The sequence below is a fragment of the Homo sapiens genome, chromosome 4 (genome assembly GCF_000001405.40).
Source record: "Homo sapiens chromosome 4, GRCh38.p14 Primary Assembly".
In the NCBI taxonomy this organism is placed as follows: Eukaryota; Metazoa; Chordata; class Mammalia; order Primates; family Hominidae; genus Homo; species Homo sapiens.
Genome location: NC_000004.12, coordinates 153,985,065 through 154,012,707, shown reverse-complemented (window position 1 = coordinate 154,012,707; position 27,643 = coordinate 153,985,065). Strand labels below are relative to the sequence as shown.

The following is a 27,643-nucleotide window of genomic DNA, read 5'->3' as shown; positions in this document are numbered from 1 at the left end:
ATCAGTTGACATATAAAATGCTTAGGACTGTGACTGGCACATAATTGGTGCTACGTAAGTGTTAGCCATTGAGACAATTATTGTCATTTTTATTATGCAAGAGGCAATGGAGTGGCAAAGGGGCCATGTTGCTTACCTTCCAGAAGCAAGACCCGTTCTTTTACAAAGCAGTTGGGAAGGGCCTCATTAAAAAAAGGGAATTTCTGTATATTGTGGGAATGAAGAAAGAATGACTAGAACACCAAGACACTAGGGTGTGGCTTTTGGGGGAAATGTGACTAGAAGCAGAGGGCATTGTGCAGCATTAGTAAGAAAAGGGTTAGACTTTGGAGCAAAAGATGAGACCCCAAGCCTTCTTTTGCAGAGCCACTGGAAGGCCCTCTGAGGCATGGGGATCAGGTTGAATGCACTGAGCAAACACAGGGTGTGAAATAACTTTGGCAGTAGAGTTGAAGGAAGGGCTGAGTAAGAGGTGGAGGCTTTCAAGAAGAGGAGACTGTAGCACTCCACATACTGAGTGAAGAAAGACCATTTTATCCACTGCCCCCAAGAACTACAGAAATGAAAAGTAATGTCTATAATACAGTGGAAAATATGATAGGGTTTCTTGCTTAGGACTTTGAAAATTGCCTGTAGGTAGATTCCTATAAAGGGGATGATTGGCCTAATGGGATAGTGGCAGAAAATTAAGCAACTTCTTTCTACAAGTGCCATTTTCAGTTTTCCCTGGCTATGCAGCTTATCTCTCACTTGAAATAAACCTACTCCTATGAATTTATACCATTAATAAAACAGGACACTAATTTATGCTGCTCAGTCAAAAGGCTCAAACATAACACTGCATGTTAGACAATGACAAATTATGTTATTGCAGCTTAACTTCAGCAGACATTCATAATCCAAAAGAAAAAGAGAGGACAAAAATTAAGTTATGGGATCAGGGCACCAGTAAATCCTCACACGTGGGGAGGTTAAGAGGGGAGTCATTCAGAACCAAGAATTAAGAATGGGTTGCAAAACCACTTGTAGTTCAAGACCAAGAAAAGTCCATCCATGAATATCATTTCCATCCTTTGTTTGCCTGCCATCTTTTGATTCAATGGAACACTTCTTCCCCTAAATTGTATATTTTTGTGGCTATAGCTAACACAAGATGTAATTATGCCCTAAAACAAGACAGTAGCACAAACAGGCCAGCCAATTGAATTAAGCCAGATCATCCTGCCAGCCATCTCCAGGTTCCTCACCTGCTCTTGTGCTTGATGTGTTTTTATCATTCTTTTTTTTTTTTTTTTTTTTTTTTTTTTTTTTGCTTGCTTGTTTGGTTTGGTTTGGTTTTTTTGAGATGGAGTCTCGTTCTGTCGCCCAGGCTGGAGTGCAGTGGCCCGATCTCGGCTCACTGCAAGCTGCGCCCAGGTTCACGCCATTCTCCTGCCTCAGCCTCCCCAGCAGCTGGGACTACTGGCGCCCGCCACCACGCCCAGCTAATTTTTTGTATTTTTAGTAGAGACGGGGTTTCACCGTGTTAGCCAGGATGGTCTCGATCTCCTGACCTCGTGATACGCCCTCCTCGGCCTCCCAAAGTGCTGGGATTACAGGCGTGAGCCACCGCGCCCGGCCGTGTTATCATTGTTTAGGCATCCCAAGTGATTCTCAGGACAGCAGGAATAGGAAGCACTGCCCAAAGGGAAGACAAATATGGAGGAACAAAAATGGAAACTTTATGCTCCATCAGCTCCTCCCATGTAGAGACCGTTCCCACACCAAAAACCGTGAGAGATCCTGCTTGACTTTTCCCCGGGACAGGGTGGTCCCCCGCAGCCCCCTAGCTTCCACGTTGTGTTGGCGACAATGCCAACATCTTGGAGAGGAGTGGGGTCTGTGGAAGGAAAGGAGCGGCACTCCTAGGCCCACCGTCCCGTTTCTTTTGAACTGTTCTGAAGCCCAGCTCCAGCGCAATATGTGAGAGAAAGCTTGGGAACTTGGGAACGCTGCTCTTAGGGAGAAATTTAAAAGCATCCCTGACTTCTGCATTTCATTTCGGATGACAAGTTGGCTTTTCAGATCAGTCAGGGAAGGCAGGGAGGTGGGGAAGCCGTGGGAGGGAGAGGAAGCTCCGCTCTTGGAGCTAAGGCCCAGGAACTGCAGCCAGGTTATAAACATTTCCATGGCTCATCACGGCAAAAGCAGAGGATATGACCGCAGGGCCATGAGGATTGGACATATCCTGTCCCTCAACTTTATAGCTGTTTTATTTCTTTCCAGACTCAGAAAACTTGGATTGGGGCTGAGGAAGGGTGGAGAAATCAAGATCCCCATTTGCAAGAGGAACTTAGAGCCCTGAGCAGGCTGTTTGGGGAGAGGTGCTGATTCCAGTCTTCAGTGACCACATAGCCATCCGGCCATGGGCTCGGCTCCTGCGAGGGGAGTCCTCAAATGGAGGCCTTGCCTGGGCAGGGAGCCCCTGCCCTTCTCCACAGAGAAGAAACCAAATGGCCACCTTTCAACCTCCCAGGGCTTACAGGGTCTTCACAAGCTCTGTTCCCAGCATTCAAAATCAGAGCTAAATTCCCAATGGTGATCTGGGAAGAGTGGGTGGGGGTCAATAGGAAAAAGGGATTGGAAATTGACGGAGGTCTAGTTTCCTTGTCTTCAGATTTATGAACCAGCAGCACGGCGAGTCCCAACAGGCCCTGTCCTAACGTGGTGCTTTTTTCTCCTTCTGAAAGTTAGCATAGCTGAGCCAAGCTTTCTGTCTTCTTTCCCTGGAGAAAACAGAAAAAAGGGCCTGTGTCCTGCATTTGAAAAACATCTGGTGGGACTATCAGGAGAGAAAAAGCAAAGACTATAATTTAACTTACCTTTTGGGATAGTTTTTATTACATTTACTTTCTCGGATACGCAAAAAAGTTTGGCATTTCCCCATTAGTTAATGGGTTCGGAATTTTATTAATCAATGTCTAAATGTTCATAAAATAATGCCACCTTTTAAAACCAGGGGCAAGGACTCCTTCCAAATGCTTCCAGTCATAAGGAATAATATTAAAATGCAGGTTGCATATGTGCCAAAACCAGTCTTCGGGGAGTGGGGCATAAGGCCTCAATTATCCCAGTCACCTCCAGAGCCAGAGATCAAGGGCAGAAATCCATGCCAGACCAAGAAATACACCTGAGGAATGGGCCCACCAGGCCCTTTCACAGCTCAAGCTGATCTCCTCACTTCCCTCCTCCCAATCGCCACACAAAACTCACCCTATCCCAGGTCTCATGTGCCCTAAGGGCTACCAGAGCAGTTGGGTATTAATCACATATCTCCAGGGAGGGTGTTGTTGCTCAAGCTGAGTGTGGTTCTCCCTGGCGGTTGCCTGCTGTGCTTTAAGTACTGGGAAAGTTGAAAGTGTATCTTACATCCCCCTTTTTTTCTGAGTACTCACTCCTGCTATCACTTGATGTGACTGCTTTTTTAGGTCAGCTCCCCAAGCTGGTTCATAACAGATTTATTCATAATAGTCCAAAACTGAAAACAACCCAAATCTTCATCAAGTAGTAGAATCGACAAATAGAAGGTAGGGTATTTGCAATGGAATAATACCCCCAAAAAAAGGAATATTAAAAAAAAGCTACAACTCTACTCAACCACACAATATTGAACAAATGAAGGCTTCCCAAAATGTGTGATTACATTCATATGAAAGTTCAAGACCAGACAGAACAAATCTATGATGATAGAAGTCAGAATAGTAGAAACTCCTGATGGGGGATGGGTGGTGGTGTATGGGTGGCCAGGTGCCAGGGGATTGACAGGGAAGGGTCCAGATTGCTTGAGGAGCTGGAAGCCCTTCCTTCAGGTTGTGATGGAGTGGAGGCTGAATGTTTCCACATTGAGAATGACAACTAGTGAAGGAAAGCTACACTTTAGGGCTCTGCAGAAGACTTGGGTCCTACCAATTGCTGTATAAGAAGGAAAGCTCCATGAGAAGAGTGACTTGTCCTTGCTCGTATGAATCTCAGGATTTAGAATAGTGGCCTCACACAGGAAAATGTTTTTGAATGAGACAGATTTGGAATCCCTTTGCCTCCCTGTGACCATGGGTCTCTCCTTGATTCTTCCGTCAGCGCCCTCTCATGCTCACTGAACGCTCTCCCCACATATGAGGCCCTGCTGTGCCTGCAGGCCAGCGGCTACCTCCAGTCAACATGTCTAAATTGGCACACCTCCTATTCCCACCCTCAGCAGTTCTTTCTCCTGGGCTTCCTCTTAATCTTCCACACCTTCAACTTACCAAGACTTGACACTTGGCCATCTTTAACATCTCCCTCTCCCTTATATACCACAACTACTCTTAAACAAGAGCCCATCTGCTATCATCTCACTCCAGTTAAAATGACTATTATCAAAAAGACAAAAAAAAAGACCAATGATGGTGAGGACGTGGGGAAAGGAGAATTCTTATACACTGTTGGTGGAAATGTAAATTAATACAGTCATTACAGAAAATAGTATAGTGTTCCCTCAAAAAATTAAGAATATAAACTACTATATGATCCAGCAATCCACTACTGTGTATGTAGCCAAAGGAAAGGAAGTCAAATATTTTGAAGAAATATCTGCACTCCCACGTTTACCACAGCACTCTTCACAATAGCCAAGATATGGAATCAACTGAAGTATCCATCAAAGGATGAATGCATAAAGAAAATCTCATATATATACACAATGGAATACTATTTAGCTGTAAAAAAGGACAAAATCCTGCCATCCACAACAACATGGATGGAACTGGAGGACATTGTGTTAAGTAAAATAAGCCAAGCACAGAAAGACAAATGTCACATGTTCTCACTTATATATGGAGTCTAAATAAATGAATCACATGGAGATAGCAAATAGAATGATAGTTATTAGAGGCTCAGAGGGTAGTGAGGAGGGGGAGTGGGAACGAAAACACACTTAGATATTATAGAAGGAATATAATCTAGTGTTCAGTAGCATAATAAGGTGACTATAGTTCACAGTAATTTACTGTATATTTTTACATAGCTAGAAAAGAAGATTTGGAATGTTCTCACCAAAAGAAATAATAAATATTTGAAGTGATGGATATCCCAATTGTGCTGATTTGATCATTGCACATTGCATACATGTAACAAAACATCACACTGTACCCCATAAATATATACAATTATTGTGTATCAAAAATAAAGCTTAAAGAGAAAAAATGTAGAAGGAAAAAAAGAAATGTAAAAAAATTTTTTTTAAAAAAAGAGCCCATCTGTTGACATGATCTGTTTCTACTCACAACACCCTGACACCAAAATATGTAAGTTTTTTTCCACACCCACAACCAGTTCTCCAGCTTTCCAGACACCAACTGGGTATCCAATGATTAAATTCCATTCTGACACTAGGTACCCAGAGTTAATTCAGACCCCACAGGTTACGGCCTCAGTCCCACAAGACTGTCCCACTTCAGACACCAATCACAAGTCCCAGCCACCCATACTTCTGATAAAACAGTCATAAAGTCAGAGGTTCCCACAACCCCTTCCTCAGTTTCAATGGTTTGCTAGAACAGCTCACAGAACTCAGAAAACCAGTTTACTTCCCATTGCTTATGTATTATAAAAGCTACAACTCAGGAAAAACCAAATGGAAGAGATGCATAGGGCCGGCGATGGGGGTGAGGACATGGAGCTTCTGTGCCCTCTTCACACGTTGATGTGTTTGCTGACCAAGAAGCCCTTCAAATCCCATTGTTTGGGGATTTTATGGAGGTTTCATTACATAGGCATAACTGATTAAATCATTGGCCATTGGCAATTGACTCAGTCTGTATCTCCTCTTCTTTCTTCAGAGGTTGAGGGGTGGAAGTGAGGTTGAAAGTTCCAACTCTTTTATCCTGTCTTGGTCTTCCTGGGAACCAGCCCCCAGCCAGAAGCTATCTAGAGTCCCCCAACCCCCAGCCATCTCACTAGCATCCACTCATGTGTGGTTGAAAGGGGCTTACGAATAAAATAACACACTCCTCTCATCCCATCGTTCAGGGAATTCCAAAGGTTTTAAGAGCTCCATGTAAGGAACTAGAGCCAGGGCTGAAGACAAGGATATATTTTTGTATTATATCACAATATCGGGCTATCTTCTGCACCATTCCCTCCTGGCAGTTCTCACCACTATTATTTAAGCTCAGGCCTTGATTATTTCAGCTTGAAATAAACATTCTCCAGGAACCTCTGACCCATGATTCCTAGCACACAGTTGGAGTCCTGGCGCTTTACTGTTCACACACTTTCAAAGGCTCCCACTGCCGACCAGGTAAGACACCATCCTCCTTAGCCTGGCACTGACAGTCTTCTAAATATAGGCCTCAAAACACCTTTTATCTTTATCTCTTGTTACTCCCCTCCACATACCCTATACTTAAGTTAAAGGGAACCATGTGAATGCCCCAAACAAACATGTCAGTTTCTTACCCCATGTCTTTGCTCCTTGCCTTCCCTCCGGCAATGCCTTCCTCTCCCTTCTCTGCCTGCCTTCTGTAACACTACAGGTTCTAGTTGAAATCATGACCATCCTTCACAAAGACTCATCCCACATGTTGGTTCCCCCAGTGGGTGCTCCCTAAACACCTCAGTTCCTGCCCTCAATTGATTTTTTTCTATTTGTGCTGTTCTTATGTCACTTACTGTATGCTGCTTTATGGTGACTTCAGTTCCCTTTTAACCTGTAAGTTCATTTAGGGCAGAGTGCATGTCTTACTCCTCCTTGAACTCACATAGTATCTTGTCCTCAGATGGTCATTAAATGCATACCAATTGAAAGAATAAATGCATGAAGGAAAATAAAATCAAGCCTCAGCTAGCTGTTACATTGAATAAGACAATAAATTAATTCACACTTAGATGGAAATGACTGCTTAAATGATTATAGACACAAAGATATTTTCATTGTAATTGCAGACAATCCATTAACCAAAGAATGACACTAAATTATGGAACCTCACAAGGGTAGTGTTGGAGTTTCCTGGTGCCACCTAAAATCAGATCACCAACTATCCTGCTTTGGGTATGAACTGCCTTAATGATTGGCTAGGCCTAGGTGTTTCAGGGTCCCCAGGATGGTCAGGTCTCCCATGTGACCAGTGCAACCTTATAATGCCACTCAGTTGAAAGTCAAACAAAGCTGACTGTCACATCCACCCTGCCATCCACTACAATATGTTACTTTGGGAAACTAACTACCTACCTGAGGCTTGGTTTCTTCGTCTGTCAAGCAAGAATGATAGTCCTGCTTTTCCAAGTTCTCATGAGGAACGGTGATCCAGGCAGGCAAGTAGAAGCTGCCAATGCAGCCGTGAGCATTCAAGTTTCTACTTGGGCCTCCAAGCACCACAGGTATGCTTGTGGTTCTGTCTGGCTCCACGTGGCTTTGGCAGGAGAAAGGGAGTCTGCCTCGCTGTCTTGCTGGACACTGCAGGAAGATGTTTGAAGCCTCCCCTCCAGTCTTTGTGGAAAGTTATCATAGGAGGCAATTTGGGGCAGGCTCCCTGATTCTTATGACTTTCTCCACCTCTGAGTTCACTGAGACCAAAGGAGCTTTTCCCAGTGAGGAGAGAAACATTCCAATCTATTGACATAAAAATGCCCATGGGAGAGTCCAGGGGAAATCATCAGACAGGAAGAAGATGGAAGAGATTGCGTGGCAGAGGCTTCAGGAGAACACAAGGTCTCAGGGTCAAGCATGCAAAGTGAGAGAGAGAGGGAGCGTGTGCTCCTGCCAATTCCTTCTGCTGAACATGTACCCTTAGCACAAAGAGCAAACACGCACACACACACTTTAAAAATACAAAAAACAAATGGGAAGTTTTCCCTTGGAAAAAAATAGCCTCTGGCAGAAAACCATGAAGGTAATTGCTAGAGACTGGGCCCATCTCGGCCCATCTATGCTGAAACGTGGCCTCCCCATACATGAAAGCTACTGCTCGCTGGTCAGGCCAGAACCCCAGGCCAGGCCTTCCACTCTCTCTGTCTCTCCTCAGGATTCAATCTTACTGCCAACTGGCAGTGAATCTGGACAAATTGGCAGGGGCCCACCTTGCTTTAAGTGAATGCATGTGCACCTCTCAAGCTCGCAGAGGATACTCATTAGCCTGCTCCACTGCCCCTTTGAGGGAGGTTAAGGTGGCCTGTCTACCAACACCGACAGAGCCCACCTCTCGAAACCAGTCACACCCCCCGCCTCGAGGAGCAGAAAGGAGGCCTTTGCTCCCCAAATACCTGTACATAGAAAGAGCTTCTATTCACAGAGTTATATGCTGGCTTCTTCTCATGCACTAGTCTCCCCACACATTTCTGTGGCTATGTGCTATGTCCAAGTAGAAAGAAGTTCATCGAGCTGAAAACTCCCCAGAAAGTTAGACATTGAGCATGACTCTAAATATGCCCCAGGGAACACAGCCCAGAAAATTTGTTAATTAAATCTCGGTGGAAAACTAAGTCTGACCACAGTCATCTTGAGTTTAACATGGATCAGCTAAGAAGTAATGGAGATCCATCCTGTGGTCACGCTAGCCGGAACTTTGTCACCTCCCTGGGCAGGGAATGGAAGGTGCTGCCTGGCACCATCTGCTGAGGAGGCCTGGAGTCAGGGCGGATGCACAAGATTTCAAGGGAAGGACAAAGGGAAGCCTGAGGAATTGGAGAATTTCCATTTCACCCCTGCCCCTTCCCCTTCTCCTCTGAGGGGCCTGCTTTTTCGACTTTGTCACATTCTCTCTCTGACCCCATTTTAGATGAACTCTTTAAAATAATGAATTTCCTATTTGATGATTCCATTTATCTCTTTGATAAATGGAGAGGGCATCGATTGCCAAGAGCTGCCATCAACCGCCTGCCTGGATTGGGCTGGTCGGGTGCGGTAATTAGCAAATGTTTAAGGACAGAAGAGTCAGTTCCATAGTTCTGGTTATTCACAATCGCTACAGTTCTTCTTATATATCCACCAATTCCACCTCTAGGAATTCCTGCTAGAGAAACATGCAATGATTTAGGACTCAAACTAGTAACAAAAATGTTATTTATAAAGGCAGAAAAAACAAAGGTTAAAAAGTAGAAATGTACTTGAATGAGTTACAGCACAAAGGAATACTTCTAAACCAATAATAAGTACACATTATTATGTATTTATCACAAAAAATGTGTTCACAATACATGAAGTAAATAAAAGGGGATCACAAGCAGTATGATCTCATTTTGGCAAAATGAAATAGTGAAAAAAAAGTAGGAAGAGAGAAAATAAAGACAGGAGGGAGGGAAGGAAAGAAAGAATCTAAGGATATGTATTTTAAAATGCTTCTTGCCTGTAATCCCAACACTTTGGGAGGCTGAGGCGGGCAGATCACAAGGTCAGGGGATCGAGACCATCCTGGCTAACATGGTGAAACCCCATCTCTACTAAAAATACAAAAAATTAGCCAGGCATGGTGGCAGGCACCTGTAGTCCCAGCTACTCAGGAGGCTGAGGCAGGAGAACGGCATGAACCTGGGAGGCGGAGGTTGCAGTGAGCCGAGATCACACCACTGCACTCCAGCCTGGGCGACAAAGCGAGACTCCGTTTCAAAAAAAAAAAAATGCTTCTCTATATAGTGACGTTCTCTTTATCCTTATTATATGGTATAAATTTTCCTTGTAAATTTCATTTTTTTAATTAGAGAGGAAAATCATGCTATTTAAGTGCGCGCGCGCGCGCGCGCGCACACACACACACACACACACACACACACACACACACACACACACACAGAGGAGTCTGTCCACTTCACTGTCCTGTCTCTGAGATGAGATGCCTGTTTGCCAGCTTCCTGCCAAGGGGCCTGGGCGGGCAGGCTGCACCACCCCGTGGCTTAGAGCATGTTCTTGCAGTACTTGCCCACCATTCCACCAGGCCAGGTGGCACCTGGCAAAGGTGAGGAAGCAGGGGTGTGGAGGAGCAAGACAGTAGGATGCCTGGCTATCCAAGTTCTCCTATTACTAGCACAGGCTTGTGAACCAAATCAGAGCTCCTCTTACAGAATATTTTTGTTTTCCAAAACTAAAATACCAAATTGACAGGAAAAGGAGAACACCCTGAAGGGCTCTGCTAAGTAGACTATTTCACTCCATGACTTTACATTCAAGGTCAAACTAGTTTAAATGTTCGCTTCCTGTTGGGGAGCAGGGTGCATGTGCTGTCCCAAGAGGGGCTGCCTTGCTAAGGGTCACAGAGTATGATACTTAGTGCTCGCTGACACTTAGTGCTCTACAGGAGGTGGCAGGTCCCAGCAGCAGCACCAGCTCCAACACTTTGGCATCACACTTCATTTTCCAGGCCTCAGTTTCCCCCTGTGTAGTAATGGGTACTATGTATTCACTAATAACCAGCATAACAGTCAGTACTCTTCACGCTCTGTTAGAGGAGCTCCATGGGGAGCTTATGGGGAGGGTGAGTAGTGGCTTAAGTGGGAGCCAAGGAAGAAGCTAAATGGGCAATGCCTTGGACCCCCAACCCCCAATATAACCAGAGCAGCTCCACACATTATCTCTTTTATATATTTAGGTTCAAGGGAAGGATTTATTGGAAAATAGATTTCTACAATTATGACTTAGCCACCAAACCAAAAATGTAGCTCTGATATATATACATATATATATATATATATATACATATATATATACATATATATATGTATATATATATATGTATATATACATATATATATAAAGAGAGAGAGTTTTTTTTTTTGTTTTTTTTTTTTTTTTTTGAGATGGAGTCTCGCACTGTTGCCAGGCTGGAGTGCAATGGCACAATCTTGGCTCACTGCCACCTCTGCTTCCCAGGTTCAAGCGATTCTCCTGCCTCAGCCTCCCAAGTAGCTGGAATTACAGGCACCCACCACCACGCCCAGCTAATTTTTTGTATTTTTAGTAGAGACAGGGTTTCACTACATTGGCCAGGCTGGTCTCGAACTCCTGACCTTGTGATCTGCCCGCATCGGCTTCCCAAAGTGTTGGGATTACAGGCATGAGTCACTGCACCCAGTCCTGATATTCTTTTTAATAAAGTATTACCTCTAAGCACAGTGGACTTATAATTATGTTTCAGCTGAGACAGGCATTGATTGCCTGGACTCTTTTTCCTATTTTCAATGTGATTTACTCATGCAGAGGAGGGCTGCCATCTTTGGGTATAATCTCAGAAATAAGATTCAAACATTCAGCAGACAAAGATGTGTTATTAAGTCATCCTCCCATAAAGAGAGTGAGAAATCCATGAACCTGGCATCTCTACAAGGCACCTGGCACCAATTATTCCTGGCCCTGGCTAAATGGTTCTACATAAGAGTGCTCAAAAATAAAGTGGAGCTATTTTGGACTCTTTGCTTGGGTTTTATTAGGTATTTTCTTTCCATATGAGGAAATGGTTCATTGCTCTGTTCTCCATGGTACCTGCTATTTAGCAATGGTGATGTCTATGTTTGTGCATATGCACCTACATGCAATGCCCTTTGGTGGTGGACATCTGCATTTTAGAAGTACTTTGAGTGAGGGGAATATATGCCAGCTTTATTTCTTAAAATAACAGCCATCTCAGTCTGTTGTCCGTTCCTATGACAGAATACCTTAGATTGGGTGATTTATAAAGAATTATTTCTTCTGGTTCTGGAGGCTGGGAAGTTTAAGGCTGACATCCAGTGAGGGACTTCTCACTGCATCATAACACAGTGGAGGGCATCACGTGGTGAGAGCAAGAATGTGCAGGTCAGCTAGAGTCTTTCTTTTTCTTCTTATAAAGCCACCCATCCCATTTTGCCCCCCCCCCCACCCTGATGATCTTATCTAAACCTAATTTCCTCCAGAAGGCCCAATGTCCAATCAATATATGAATTTGGGGATTAAGTTTCCAATACATTCAAACCATAGTAACAGCACCAGAGCAGAACTTTCACAACTATCTGATTCCTGACCCCCAACATTCCTTCCTTTCCTGGAAATAAGAAGGAGAAAGAAGAGAGGAAACAGAAAGAGGAAAAGAAGGGATGGGAAGGTAGGAGGGATGAGAAGGAAGAGTAGAAGATAAAAGAAATTAAAATTCATTTTAGAGCAAGCTTTTTAATCTCAAGTACGCTAGATTTTTGTTCTGGATGGGCTTGGGAATTCTTAGCCTGTGTCATTTTCATGATCTTGAAAAACAAAACCATCTATGGGAAGGGCTGCCATGTGGACCTGGATTTGATTTTATTGCATTTTGCTCTCATCTCTTCTGGAGTGTTGGTGGGGACCATGAGAAGCATGAATGTCATTTTGACAGAATCCAGAGCAACCTAGCCAAAAAAAAATTCCTCTCTCTCTCTCTCTCTCTCTCTCTCTCATGCACACACACACACACACACATACTCGATAAAGATGGTCAACTGCTCATGACTTCATGCTGAGCCCCCTTTCCCTGGGCCACCTCACACCTGCCCAGGCAGTGATGAAGCTCTCGGTAACCTCCCTGAGAGGCATGACTGTTGCCTGCATATTGTTGTCCATGAAAAGTTGACATTTTCTTATTCTGAAACATTTGTGTATATGTATGTATATATATATGAAAAGGCTTGGAAGGTTGATAAATTTTTCCACCTCTGGCATGTTTTTATAACATAGTGCTGAAAAAAAAGGTGACTTCAAGGGTAGGTTTGAGTTTGTGTTTTAGCAGATACACTAGGAAGAGAATGTCTCTGAATTTCACAAAACATCTGCATCCTGATGGGTGCTGGCAGTGACCATAAAACTAACATGTATTGGGTGACACCATATTCAGAATCCTCTCTGGGCCCTTCACCTGAGGTAACTCATTTAATCCTCACAACTCTCCAGTGCAGTAAGTCCTGTGGTTCTCCTCATTTTAGGCAGGAGTTTGAAACTGGTCCAGTCACGCAGCTAAGAAATGCTAAGCAAGACTGGAACGCAGCCCTCTAGCACCAGAGATTGAAGAAATACAAACAGGTGGAGGAAGGAGGGGACAGGTAAAATCTAGGAGTAGGATTGCTAAGTCTTATGATAAGTGTATTCAACCTTATAAGAAACTTAGCAAGCTCTTTTTAAAGTTTTTATTTCAATTTCAAATTACTCATTGCTAGTATACAGAAGTACAGTTGATTTTAATATAATGAATTTGTATGCTGCAATCCAGTTAAATTCACTTATTGGATCTAATAGCATTATTCTAGATTGAGATTTTCAATGTAAGCAATCATGTCATCTGAAAGAGTTTTATTGCTTACTTTCCAAATTGTATTTCTTTTATTTCCTTTTCTTGCCTTGTTGCACTGACTAGACCCCCTAGGACAATGTTGAATAGAAATGGAGAGAGACATTTACAGAACAGTTCATCTAACAGCCACTGAATACACATTCCTCTCAATTGCCCATGGAACTTTCTCCAGGATAGATCATATGTTAGGTCACAAACTTAATCTTAACAAACTAAAGAAGATTTGAACCATACCAAAATGGTATAAAACTGGAAATCAATGACAGGAGGAAATTTGGAAAATTTACAAGTACATGGAAACGAGACAATGCACTATTGAATACCCAATGGGTAGAAGAAGAAATTAAGAGAGAAATTTTAAAATTCCTTGAGGCAAATTAAAATGGAAATGCATCATATGAAAAACTATAGGATACGGCAAAAGCAGTCCTAAGAGGGAAGTTTATAGCAACAAACACCTACATCAAGAAAGAAGAAAGACCTCAAATAAACAATCTAATACTGTATCTCAAGGAACCAGAACAAATTCAACCCAAGGTTAGTAGAAAGAAAAATTAATAAAAACGAGCAGAAATAGAGATTTAAAAAGCAATACAAAGATCAGTGAAACAAAGGGTTGGCTTTGTGGAAAGATAAAATTGACAAACCTTTAGCCAGACTAAGAAGACTGCTAAAGAAAAGACTCAATAAAATCAAAGATGAAAAAGAAGACATTACAGCTGATACCACAGAAATGCAAAAAATCATGAGACTATTATAAGCAATTATACACCAACAAACTCGATAATCTAGAAGAAATTAATAAATACACATACCATATACCAAAATTGAATCATGAAGAAATAAAAAATCTGAAAAGATCAATAGTTAGTGAGGAGATTGAACCAGTAATAATACTATAAAATGTCTTCTATCAAAGTTTCCACCCAGAACCTGACTGCTTCACTGCTAGATTCTACAAAACATGTAAAGAAGAACTAATGCCAATTCTTCTTAAACTATTCCAAAAAATTGAAGAGGATGGAATACTTCCAAATTTATCCTATGAATAAGTTTGATGCCAAACCTGACAAAGATACACACTAAAAAGGAAAACTGCAAATGAATATTTATGATGAACTCACATGCAAAAATCCTCAACAAAATCCTAACAAGCCAAATTCAATGGTACATCAGAAAGGTTTTCCACAGATCATCATGGTGGATGGGAGGCAGGACTAGATTGTAGCTCTGACTCAGACAGAGCAGTGTGTGGAGGCTTAAATCATGAATTTTAGCTCCAGAATGACTGCAAGAACAAAACAGGAATCCCAAGAGGACCCACAGACCTTCTGAAGGAAGCAGACTGCTCCTGTAGGACCCGGGAGACACCCCAACTACTGTGAGTACCCCAAACTTTGGAAGTAGGAAAGGGAGACCCTCCACTCCCAAACACACACCCCCACTGGAGAAAATAAAGATCTAGTTTGTGGGACAAGTTTCCAACCTTACCTGAAGCTGAGTCAAATTAGAGAACCGAGCAAAACACAGGGGTAGAGAAAGCAGCAGGAAAGACCATGAAAGCTCACTGGGTCCCCAAGCAGGCCATTCCTGCCTGGTACCACAGGGACCCTTCAGGAGGACAGCCAGAGGCATGGAGAAAAATGCTACAGGAAAAAGGAAGTCACTAGCTGAACTCTGTAATAATTGGAACCAGGTGAGAAGCCTCCTTGCCAGAACTTGGTGTCAGGGAGGGAGTGAATCCAGTGTGCAGACTCCACAAGTTCTGTTCTTGTGGAAGAACCAAAGTCCTGTTCTTTCGCAGTGGGAGGTGGGTAGCCTGGGGCAAGCTCTCAAGCCTGGCTCACCCGCTGCCTGGAAACAGACTCAGGGCTGTTATGGGGGGCACGGTGGGAGTGAGACCAGACCATCAGATTGCATGGCAGCTGGGTAAGGCCTGTAACTGCCGGCTTTCCCCAACTTCCCTGACAACTTGCATGACGCAGCAGAGGTAGCCATAATCCTCCTAGGTACACAACTCCATTGATTTGAGAACCTCACCCCCATCCCCCACAGCAGCCACAGCAAGACCCACCCAAGGAGAGTCTGAGCTCAGAAATGCCTAGCCCTGCCCCCACATCATGAGCCTTCCCTATCCACCCTGGTAGCTGAAGACAAACGGCATATACTTTTGGGAGTTCTAGGGCCCTGCCTACCACCAGTTCCTCCCTATACTACCACAGCTGATGCTGTCTGGAAAGCACCATCTCCCAGCAGAAGGCCAACCAGCACAAAAACAGAACATTAAACCACCAAAGCTAAGAACCCTCATAGAGTCAATTTCACCGCCCTGCCACCTCCACCAGAACAGGTGTTGGTATCCATGGCTGAGAGACCCATAAATGGTTCACATCACAGGACTCTGTGCAGATGACCCCCAGTACCAGCCTGGAGCCAGGTAGACTTGCTGGATGGCTAGACCCACAAGACAGATAACAATCACTGCAGCTTGCTTCACAGGAAGCCACATCCATAGGAAAAGGGCAAGAGTACTATATCAAGGGAACACCCCATGGGACAAAAGGATCTGAACAACAGCCTTCAGCCCTAGACCTTCCCTCTGACAGAGTCTACACAAATAAGAAGGAACCAGAAAACCAGCTCTCGTAATATGACAAAACAAGGCTCTTTAGCACCCCCAAAAAAATCTCACTAGCTAACCAGCACTGGAACCAAGCCAAGTGGAAATCCCTGATTTACCTGAAAAAAGAAATCAGGAGGTTAGTTATTAAGCTAATCAGGAAGGCACCAGAAGAAGGTGAAGCCCAATGCAAAGAAATCCAAAAAATGATACAAGAAGTGAAGGGAGAAATATTCAAGGAAACAGGTAGCATAAAGAAAAACCAATCAAAACTTCAGGAAATATTGGAGACACTTATAGAAATGCAAAATGCTCTGGAAAGTCTTGGCAATAGAATTGAACAAGTAGAAGAAAGAAATGCAGAGCTCAAAGACATGATCTCCAACTTTAAAATTACCAACAAAAAAATTCCAGGACCAGAGGGATTCACAGCAGAATTCTGCCAGACATTCAAAGAAAAACTGGTATCCATCCTTTTGACACTATTCCACAAGATAAGAGAAAGAGGGAACCCTCCCTAATTCATTATATGAAGCCATCATTACCCTAATACCAAAACCATGAAAGGACATAACCAAAAAAGGAAACTACAGAACAATTTTCCTGATGGAGGTAGATGCTAAAATCTTTAACAAAATACTAGCTAACCAAATCCAACAACATATCAAAAAGATAATCCACATGATCAAGTAGGTTTCATATCAGGAATGCAGGGATGGTTTAACATATGCAAGTCAATAAATGTGATACACCATATAAACAGGATTAAAAACAAAAATTACATGACCATCCCAATAGATACAGAAAAAGCATTCAACAAAATCCAGCACCCCTTTAGGATTAAAACTCTTAGCAAAATTGCCATACAAGGGACATACCTCAATGTAATAAAAGCCATCTATGACAAACCCACAGCCAACATAATACTGAAAGGGGAAAAGTTGAAAGCATTCCCTCTGAGAACTGGAACAAAGCAAGGATGCCCACTCTCACCACTCCTCTTCAACATAGCACTGGAAGTCTTAGCCAGAGCAATCAGACAAGAGAAAGAAATGGAAGGCACCCAAATCGGTATAGGGGAAGTCAAACTGTCACTGTTTGATTATGATATAATCATTTATCTCAAAAACCCTAATGACTCCTCCATAGAGATTCTAGAACTGATAAAAAAAAAATTCAGCAAAGTTTTAGGATACAAGATTAATGTATACAAATCAGTAGCTCTTCTATACACCAACGGTGACCAAGCTGAGAATCAAATCAAGAACTCAACTCTTTTACAATAGCTGAAAAAATAAAATAAAATACTTAAGAATATACCTAACCAAGGACATGAAAAATCTCTACCAGGAAACTACAAAACACTCCTGAAAGAAATCATAGATGACACAAACAAATGCAAACACATCCCATGTTCCTGGATGGGTAGAATCAATATTGTGAAAATGACCATACTGCCAAAAACAATCTACAAATTAAGTGCAAACCCCATCAAAATACCACCACCATTCTTCACAGAATTAGAAAAAACAATCCTAAAATTCATATGGAAACAAAAAAGAGCCCACATAGCCAAAGCAAGACTAAGCAAAAAGAACAAATCTGGAGGCATTACATTAACTGACTTCAAACTGTACTATAAGCCCATAGTCACCAAACCAGCATGGTACTGGTATTAAAACAGGAATATAGACCAATGGAACAGAATAGAGAACCCAGAAATCAAGCCAAATACTTACAGTCAACTGATTTTCGACAACGCAAACAAAAATATAAAGTGGAGGAAGGACACCCTATTCAACAAATGGTGCTGGGATAGTTGGCAAACCACATGTAGAAGAATGGAACTGGATCCTCATCTCTCACTCTATACAAAAATCAACTCAAGATAGATCAAAGACTTAAATCTAAGACCTGAAACTATAAAAATTCTAGCAGATAACATTGGAAAACCCCTCCTAGATATTGGCTTATGCAAAGACTTCATGACCAAGAACCCAAAGCAAATGCAACAAAAACAAAGATAAATAGACAGAACCATTAAACTAAAAAGCTTCGGCACAACAAAAGAAATAATCAGCAGTAAACAGACAGCCCACAGAGTGGGAGAAAATCTTCACAATCTATAAATATGACCAAAGGACTAATATCCAGAATCTACAACGGAGTCAAACAAATCAGTAAGAAAAAAACAAACAAACCCATCAAAAAGTACTCTAAGAACATGAATAGACAACTCTCAAAAGAAGATATGCAAATGGCCAACAAACATATGAAAAAATCCTCAACATCACTAATGATCAGGGAAATGCAAATGAAAACCACAGTGCAATACCACCTTAATCCTACAAGAATGGTCATCATAATCAAAAAAATAAAAAAGCAGTAGACATTGGCATGGATGCAGTGATCAGGGAACATATCTACTCTGCTGCTGGGAATGTAAACTAGTACAGCCACTATAGAAACCAGTGTGGATATTCCTTAAAGAGCTAAAAGTAGAACTACCATTTGATCCAGCAATCCCACTACTGAGTATATACCCATAGGAAAAGAAGTCATTATACGAAAAAGATACTTGCACACACATGTTTATAGCAGCACCATTTGCAATTGCAAAATCGTGGAACCAACCCAAATGTCCATCAATCAATGAGTAGATAAAGAAACTGTGGTATATATATATACACAATGGGATACTACTCAGCCATAAAAGGGAATGAATTAACGGCATTTGCAGCCACCTGGATGAGATTGGAGACTATTATTCTAAGTGAAGTAACACAGGAATGGACAACCAAACATCGTATGTTCTCAGCAATACATGGGAGCTAAGCTATGAGAACACAAAGGCATAAAAATAATACAATGAAATTTGGGGACTAGGGGAAAAGGTGGGAAGGGGGTGAGGGATAAAAGACTACAAATAGGGCACACTGTATACTGCTTGGGTGATGGGTGCACCAAGCTCTCACAAATCACCACTAAAGAACTTACTCATGTAACCAAATACCACCTGTACCCTAATAACCTATAGAAAAAAAAACTCTGAAAGCAAATTAAAAATAAGTAAATAAATAAAAACAAAGCTATATGTATTCTGAAAAAAACAACTAAATGCAATATTACTTCTTAATTAAAAGGCAATTACCAGTCCTTAAGGTAGTAAAGTTATTCCTATGAATATGTGAGCAAAAATTCAACTTTACCTAATTAAATTACAGAAAGAGACCCCTCCCTCATCAGATTGACAAAGAATGAAAATAAATGCTAATAACCAGTACTGCTAAGAGTGCAATAAAACTTTCAGTCTTTAAAAATAAAGTGGGGGTTGGGGGGACCAGGCATGGTGGCTCATGCCTGTAATCCCAGCACTTTAGGAAGTCAAGGCAGATGGCTCATCTGAGGTCAGTAGTTTTAGAACAGCCTGACCAACATGGCAAAACCCCATCTCTACCAAAAAAAAAAAAAAAAAAAAAAAATTAGCCAGGCATGGTGTTGCATGCCTGTAATCCCACCTACTTGGGAGGCTGAGGCAGGAGAATCGCTTGAACCTGGGAGGCAGAGTTTGCAGTGAGCCGAGAACGTGCCACTGCACTCCAGCCTGGGTGACAGAGTGAGACTCCATCTCAAAAAAAAATGTTTTTCCATGATCAAGTAGGATTAACAGGGATGAGAGGATGGTTCAACATACACATATCAATAAATGTGATACATCACATCAACAGAATAAAGAACAAAACCCATGTGGTCATTTCCGTAGATACAGAAAAACATATGACAAAATTCAACATCCTTTTGTAATAAAAACTCCCAACAAATTAGGTATAGAAGGAATGTAGCTCAACACAATAGAGGCCTTATATGACTTACCCACAGCTAACATCATAATGAATGGGAAAAAGTTGAAAGCTTTTCCCTTAAGAACTGGAACCAAGACAAGGATGCCCACTCTCCCCACTTGTACTCAAGATAGTACTAGAAGTCCTAGCAAGAGGAATCATACAAGAGAAAGAAACAAAAGACAACCAAATTAGAAAGGAAAAAGTTATATTGTCTGTCTTTGTGGACAATGTGATGTTATATGTAGAAAACCCTAAAGACTCCACCAAAAAAACTGATAGATCTAATAAATAAATTTAGCAAAGTAGAAATATACAAAATCAACATACAAAAATCAATAGCATTTCTATACACTAATGGCACATTTTCTGGAGAAAAAAGAAGTCAAGGACACAATCCCATTTATGGCAGCTACAAAAAATAAAGCAGCTTGTAATAAATTTAACTAAGGAGATGAGAGATTGCAACACTGAAAACTATAAAACATTGATTGAATACATTGAAAAAGACACAAATAAATGGAAAGATAGTCTATGTTCATGGATGGAAGAATAAATATTGTTAAAATGTCCATATTACCCAAAGCAATCTGCAGATTCAATGCCACCCCTATCAAAATACCAGTGACATTTTTCATAGAAATAGAAAAAACAATCACAAAGTTTGCATGGAACCAAAAAAAAAGACTCCAAATAGACATAGCAGACTTGCATTTTAAAAAAAACAGTGCTCAAGACATCACACCACCTGACTTCAAATTGTACTACAAACCTATAATAACCAAAGCAACATGGTACTGGTATAAAAACAGACACATAGACCAATGGAACAGAAAAGAGACCTCAGAAATAAAGCCACGCATGTACAGCCAGTTGATTTTCAACAGAGGTGTCAAGAGCACACAATAAGGAAAAGACAGTCTCTTTAATAAATGGACTTGGGGAAACTGGATATCCACATACGGAAGAATAAAATTAGACTCTTATTTCTCACCATAAACAAAAATAAACTCAAGATGGATTAAAGACTTAAATGTAAGGCCCAATACTACGAAACTGATAGAAGAAAAAATAAGGAAAAATCTCCATGACATTGGTCTAAGCTACGATTTTTTGAATAAGATCTCAAAAGCACAGCCAGCAAAAGCAATAATAGACAAGTGGAATTACATAAAACTAAAAAGCTTCTGCACAGCAAGAGAAACAATCAACAGAGTGAAGAGACACCCTATGACATGCAAAAACATATTTGCAAACTGTACATCCAATAAGGGACCAATATCTAAAATATATAAGGAGCTCAAACAACTCAATAGCAGAATAATAAATAACTCAATTAAAAATGGGCAGAAGACCTGAATAAACATTTCTTAAAAAAAGACATAAAATTGTCAACAAGTATATGAAAAAATGCTCAACATCACTAATCATCAGGGACATGCAAATCAAAACCACAAGCTAACACCTCACTCTAGTATGAATGGCTATTGTCAAAAAAGTCAAGAAATAACTAGTGTTGGCAAAGATGTGGAGAAAAGGAACTGTTGTTGGGAATATAAATTAGACATTATGGAAAATAGTAGGAGGTTTCCCCCAAAATTAAAAATAGAACTATCACATGTTCATGATCCAGCAATCTCACTACTGGGTATATATCCAAAGAAAATGAAATCAGTATATTGAAGAGCTATCTGCACTCCTATGTTTATCGCAACACAGTTCACAATAATCAAGATATGGAATCAACCTAAGTATTCATCAATGGATGAATGAATAAAGAAAATGTGGTATAGTCCAGGCACAGTTGTTCATGACTGTAATTCCAGCACTTTGGGAAGCTGAGGCAAGTGGATTCATTAAGCCCAGGAGTTTGAGACAAGCCTGGGCAACATGGTGAAACCCCATCTCTACCAAAAGTACAAAAAATTAGCTGGGTATGGTAACCCATGTCTATAGTCTCAGCTATTTGGGAGGCTAAGGTGGGAGAATCACCTGTGCCCAGGAAGTTGAGGCTGCAGTGAGCCATGATTGTGCCACTGCACTCCAGCCTGAGCAACAGAGTGAGACCCTGTCAAAAGAAAGGAAGATAAGAAAGAAAGAAAGAAAGAAAGAAAGAAAGAAAGAAAGAAAGAAAGAAAGAAAGAAAGAAAGAAAACAAAGAAGGAAGGAAGGAAGGAAGGAAGGAAGGAAGGAAGGAACGAAGGAAGGAAGGAAGGAAGGAAAGAAAGAAAGAAAGAAAATGTGGTGTGTGTGTTGAAGGTGTGTGTGTGTGTGCAACAACATGAATGATAGGAGAAATAAGTTCTGGTATTTTAATGCACAGTGTGGTGACTATAGTTAATAATAATGTATTGTATATTTCAAAATAGCGAGAAGACAGGAATTTGAATATTCCTCACTACAAAGAACTGATAAATGTTTGAGGTGATAGAAATGCTTATTTCCCTGATTTGATCATTACATAACATATCCATGTATTGAAGTGTAACATTGTACCTCATAAATATGTACAATTATTGTGTGTCAAATAAAAACGAACATTTTAAAATAATTTTTAAAAGAGCCAAGGAAATAAAATCGCACAGCCATGGGGGTCTTTTCTTCTAAGTAGCAGAAAGACCATGCCATTTATACAATGGTGAGGGATTTTTGTTATTGTTGCTTGCGTCCTTGGTTACCATTAACTAAAGATTATGGGAGAAGCCATCCTTATTCATTGATGACCTCTCTCTAAAAAGGAAAGTAAAATGAAGTGTCAATATGTCCATTAGATTTCCACTTTAGGGATTTAGATGACAACATGCTTCTCCTATGGTGAGGAACTACATTTCAAAGACCCACATTTCTATAAACAAGGCTACAGGTCAGTACTGTCTAATAGGACTTTCTATGATAATGGAAATGCTCTATATCTGTAACTTTCAATAAGGTAGCCACTCCACATGCAGCTACTGAGCACTTGAAAGGTGACTAGTATGACTAAGAAACTAAGTTTTAATTTTATTTAAATATGTGAATTTAAATTTAAATAACCATGCAAGGCTAGTGACTATCTAAATAGCCAGTGTACCTAAACAGTGTCAATTTTATTTCTCAAAAACTCTTAGGAACCAAAGTCCTGACTAAAGAAAGAGAGAGAAAGACCTAGAAACAAGCTGTAAATGTAAGGTTTCCTGGAGAGCCTGTGGGTGGAATTTCCATCAAATTGCAGACTAATGGATTCTCAATGCTTCTTTGGTATTATTAACATCACACTGATCAAAGAACAAACTTGTCAGTGGATGGCAACATTATGCTTTTTATTTGGAACTCATGTTCTTATGGTGCTCTGTATTCTTAAATATACACTCTCTCGGGAGGCATCAAATTGAATATTCAACATGACTTCTCTGAGATTTGATTCCCACAAACTGAATGAATGTTTTGGCTCTTACGGGATGGTAGCATAAATATCTGAGCTTTATATCACCAATAGAGGATTCAGAAAGAAATCAAACTTCATTTTTGTGTCTTGCTTCTTTTAATTTCATTTTATTTTCTCCCTTCTCTCTTTCATTCTTAATAGCTGAGATGGATGGGGGGAACAATTAAAAATAAATGGCATGCTTTGGAGCAGCACTGAGCCTGACTCAATTTTGATGCATTTCTTTCAAAGGACCTTTTATGTTAAATTGCTTACTTGCTATCAGAGGTACTCACAGTGAACACAACTTAGAGATTCATCAAAATGACAAAACTGAGAATCTCCAGGGCAGGAAAAGGTCATCAGGCTCTGCGCAGTGTTCGGTCTGTATGAGTCCTTCACAAACACTCTCAGGATGGTGATGCCTTTGTTCTCCTCTGTTCTGGTGGAAATGATTTAGTGAATGCTCTGCACCTTTCCCTCCCTTCAATGCCACCCTTGACCCCTCACCCCCACCCTTTCACATTAGATCTTTTTGCTTCACTTGCCTTTCCGGATGAGGAAGAGTCTCACCAAATCAAGAATGTACCTTTTCAGAAGAGGTCAATTAGTCCTGGGGAGTAATGAGGACTAAGCTGCCCTCTTCACTTTGACCATTGATTTAAACACTATTCACAGGCTCCAGGGTGCTAGTGAGGCAACTCTCTGGGAACCGATGAGGGACATCATCCTCCATTCCCATAACCCATGCCCAGTCACCCCAGAGAATCAGCCACCAGCCGTAGCTCCCTCCCACCCTGCTACATGGTAACCAAAACAAACCCCTTCTGTGTACATTTTCTGTAGCGTGTAATTGCCAACTGGTGACAAAGAAGAATGGAAAGGAAATGCATTGAGACAGCGCCGAGAGAATTATGGTAAGAAGGATTCTAAGGCCACAACCCTGCATGCCAAGAGCAAATTTTGTGGCATGGCTCATGCCTGAAGGCTGGACCATGCCCAGAGCTGCTTCCTAAGAACTCAGCACCTTTGCCCATGCCACACACACCACGTGGGCCAGCTGTGCTCCTAAAACCATAGACTCTCAAGTCAAGAGACCTTGGAGATTCTTGGAGTCTCACTCTTTCTCACGTAAGGACTCTCTTTTCAAATCCCCCAGAAGTGGCCACCCAGGGGTAAAGACATCACTATTTCCCCAGAATAGACCCAAATTGAACCAAATATTTTATGATGGCTATCATACATTCCTTGATTTTTATCATTTCTGTTCCAAATGAAATTTCCCTGTTTTTTTCCACTGTGAATTCAATCCTCATATGATATGATTTTGAGGTTCTTCCCTATCCTGGTCACTCTTACAGTCAAGGTCAGTAAGAAATTTCAAGCCGAGCCACATCTATACAGATGCCATCATATGTCTCTAAATGTTTTATTTGAGTTTAGCAGAGAAGAGTCAGAGGCATGTGAAGAGGGTGAAGGTAGGAGGTGGGGGAAGGGGAGGTGGTAGTAGCTTTATCCTTTCTCTGAAGCCGCACTGAGAGCATAATAGATTACAGTAGAAGCACATGGAGACAGGCACAAGGTTTCCTGATGTGAAAAAGCTTCAGTCTTAGAAATAATTATCTAATTTTTGAGCACCTATCAATCAAGATCTATTCCAGACATTTTGCATATGTTAATCCTTACAAGAAGATAAGCCTTACTATTCTCACTTTACAATGAAAGGAAGGGGCTCATAGAGATTAAATGATTTGTCCAAGGTTATATAGCTAATAAGTGGTAAATAATGTATTTCTCTAAAACTTCTAACTTAGAATCATTTCTCCTGGCCAATGCCACATCCTGGAATTATACAACCTCTTGAAGGCCAGATGTGTTCTGTTTCAACTTTTCAGAGCCTTCCAGTTACTCCAGTTTGATCTGATTTTTCTGGGCTCAGATCATTATCTGCTGTGACCTTTAATTCCTTCCTTATTTTTCCAGACTTGCCTGCTCTGACCTTGGACATCTTCCTGATCCCACAAGTCAGTCTGGGTGCCTAGTTTTCCCCTCATTGTTATGTATGGACATAACCCTTAGCTCTCTCAAGAGAAAGGGAGATTCCAGGCCCCTGAATCACTGAGTCTACGTGTTCTCTTCCTTGCAAATTCTTTGCAATGGTCTGGGTGATCAAAGATGAAAGTAAGCTTTTATGTAGGTCTAGACTTCTAGATGTCATTATATGATTTTAAATTCTCTAGATTTTTCTTCTAAATGTTTACATCTTCCTTCTTTTTTTGGTGATATTTCCCAAAGAATCCAGTGTCCTGTGGATGTCTCCTGAATTGTTAGGAGAAAAAAAATGGAATAAGCACCCAATTGGTTAAAGGCTGATTAAGTGACTTTCAACGTAGCTCATTCTCAAACAATACAGCCTGAGTCAAATCTCCAGAGACTGTTTTTAAGTTGTCCTACTTGTGATACAATTCAGGTGTTTGAGAACCATTAGAAAATTCATATCAGAAATCCATTGAGGCTGAAGATGGGTGTGTTCTTACTGAAGAACCTCGTTCTAACTAACTGAAGAGTACTTTGTACTTTTAACAACTGTTTATAAACTAGAGCCCCATGTGTTCCAGTCTCTGCAAGTTATAGCATTCAAGTAAATACAGTCCTGGAACTATAAGTAATTAAAAGCAATTCCAATATTTTCTTGAATTTCTTAAAGGATGTCAAAGGAAAATCCATTTATAACCCACAATGATATTTCTTAAAGCCCTCTTTCTCTATTATTTTCCCTCTCAATATCAGTCTTATTCGCAACTTCCCCAAAGCTCTATGTATTTCATTCTCAACCTTCAATCCTAAACTCTTCCTTTAAAAACAATTAGCACAGACTTTCTTTTTCCTTTAGGTCTCCCCTACCCAAAGCTTTCCTGAGAACCACAGGAACCCATTCTGCACTCACCCACATGCAATCATGTAGTGCAAGATAGTTAACACTCCATAGCCAAATCTTCACTATAGGAACTAGGAGCTGATAGATAAATGTTTCCTTGTTTCTTCCCCTGCACATTTCTTAAGCTTTTCACATTGTCCTAGAGACATAACTTGCAATATACTTAGTAACCTTAAATAAATTCTTTTTTTTCTTTTTCCTTGTAGTAGTTATAGTGAATTATGTTGTTTGCAACCAAGAACTGTTTCCAATAAAGATTCCAATAGCAGCTATTAGAGTTCCAGTTTCCAGGTGCTTCCAAACATTGGCTATTATCAATTAAAATAAGCAAACAGCATGAAACAAAACACCTTTTACGGTCCAACCTTATAGGACAAGAAAAGCAAATAAGTTTCTCCAGAGTCCCCCCAAGTTGAGCTAGCTCTTAACTGTGAGCTATAAGCTGGGTGAGGATTCTCATATGAACCAGGGCTCATAGGAATTTAGCTGGATGGCTATTTCCCTCTTTTAATTACTCTGATCATTTTGTATTATGACCCTCAAATCTTATGGGATGCTTGGTGGAAAACATATGATTTTGTAAAGCATGACTGTTTCCGGTTAACTAGAGGAGGGATTTTTCTGACCTGCTGATTCCTTCTCAGTGAGAACCTGTATCCAAATGCATTTATCTAAAATTTGCCTCATAATGGATTCTCACACATGTGTACCTCTATTAGTGGAGCAAATTCATTCTCTTGGGGGTCTGATGGTAGAAGAAGTGGCACAACTCAACTTTAAAATAGCTCTGAAATTGTTTTTCTCAAAACATTAGTTTAAACCTTAAATTTTACATTTTGTTCCCTAAAATGCCAATGTCTACTTTTACATAAAAATAATAAATAGAATTACTAAGAGACTTCCAATTACATAAAATAGATGAAATAATACATTCGTCTTTGCTCCATCTCAAAATGCCATGAAAAATGTTACATAACATCAACCTAAAAAGAGAAAGAGATCAAAGAGATGCCAGCCAAACTGGAGAAGATGGAAATCAATTGATTAAAACTAACCTAGGCTGGGCACAGTGGCTCACACCTGTAATCCCAGCCCTTTGGGAGGCCAAGGCAGGAGGATTGCTTGAGTCCAGGAGTTCAAAACCAGCCTGGGCAACATGGCAAAACCCCATCTCTACAAAAAATACAGAAATTAGCTAAGTGGGGTGGCACCCGCCTCTAGTCGCAGCCACTCAGGAGGCTGAGGTGGGAGCATCACTTGAGCCCAGGATGTCAAGGCTTCAGTGAGCTGAGATTACACCACTACACTCCAGCCTGGGCAACAGCAAGACCCTGTCTTAAAATACAAACAACAACAACAACAAAAACAAAAACAAAATAACCTAGCTGAGTAGAAAAGTTAAGATTTAAAATGACAACAGAGGAGAATGCCAAGCGAACAAAAATTCAGATTTGGTACACAAAATTCTAGGGATGGCCAGGAATGGATGCACCTGTATCTCTAAAAGCAGAGTCGAAGATTGGGAAGAAAAGCAGAAGAAAGTGG

General features: G+C 41.0%; 1 long non-coding RNA gene across 2 annotated transcripts in view, besides 1 other annotated feature; it reads right to left on the bottom strand.

Moving 5' to 3' along the window:
• LOC101927947 (uncharacterized) overlaps nt 1–27,643 on the bottom strand; it is a 469,997-nt gene that overhangs the window by 286,112 nt on the left and 156,242 nt on the right. The window contains exon 1 of one of the 2 annotated variants that reach the window (XR_007058335.1): nt 7,247–7,583. The exons of the other annotated variant lie outside the window; for it this stretch is intronic. This is a non-coding gene — a long non-coding RNA (uncharacterized LOC101927947). Of the gene's footprint in view, nt 1–7,246; nt 7,584–27,643 lie in introns of those variants that run through there. 2 annotated transcript variants of the gene reach the window in all.
• Nucleotides 24,098–25,297: an enhancer, noted in NCBI's record as "BRD4-independent group 4 enhancer chr4:154908563-154909762 (GRCh37/hg19 assembly coordinates)". NCBI's record gives its function as "activates an origin of replication core promoter dependent on BRD2, P300/CBP, MED14 and CDK7 cofactors, and independent of BRD4, by STARR-seq in HCT116 cells {active_cell/tissue: HCT116}" and the evidence as "EXISTENCE:reporter gene assay evidence [ECO:0000049][PMID:35650434]".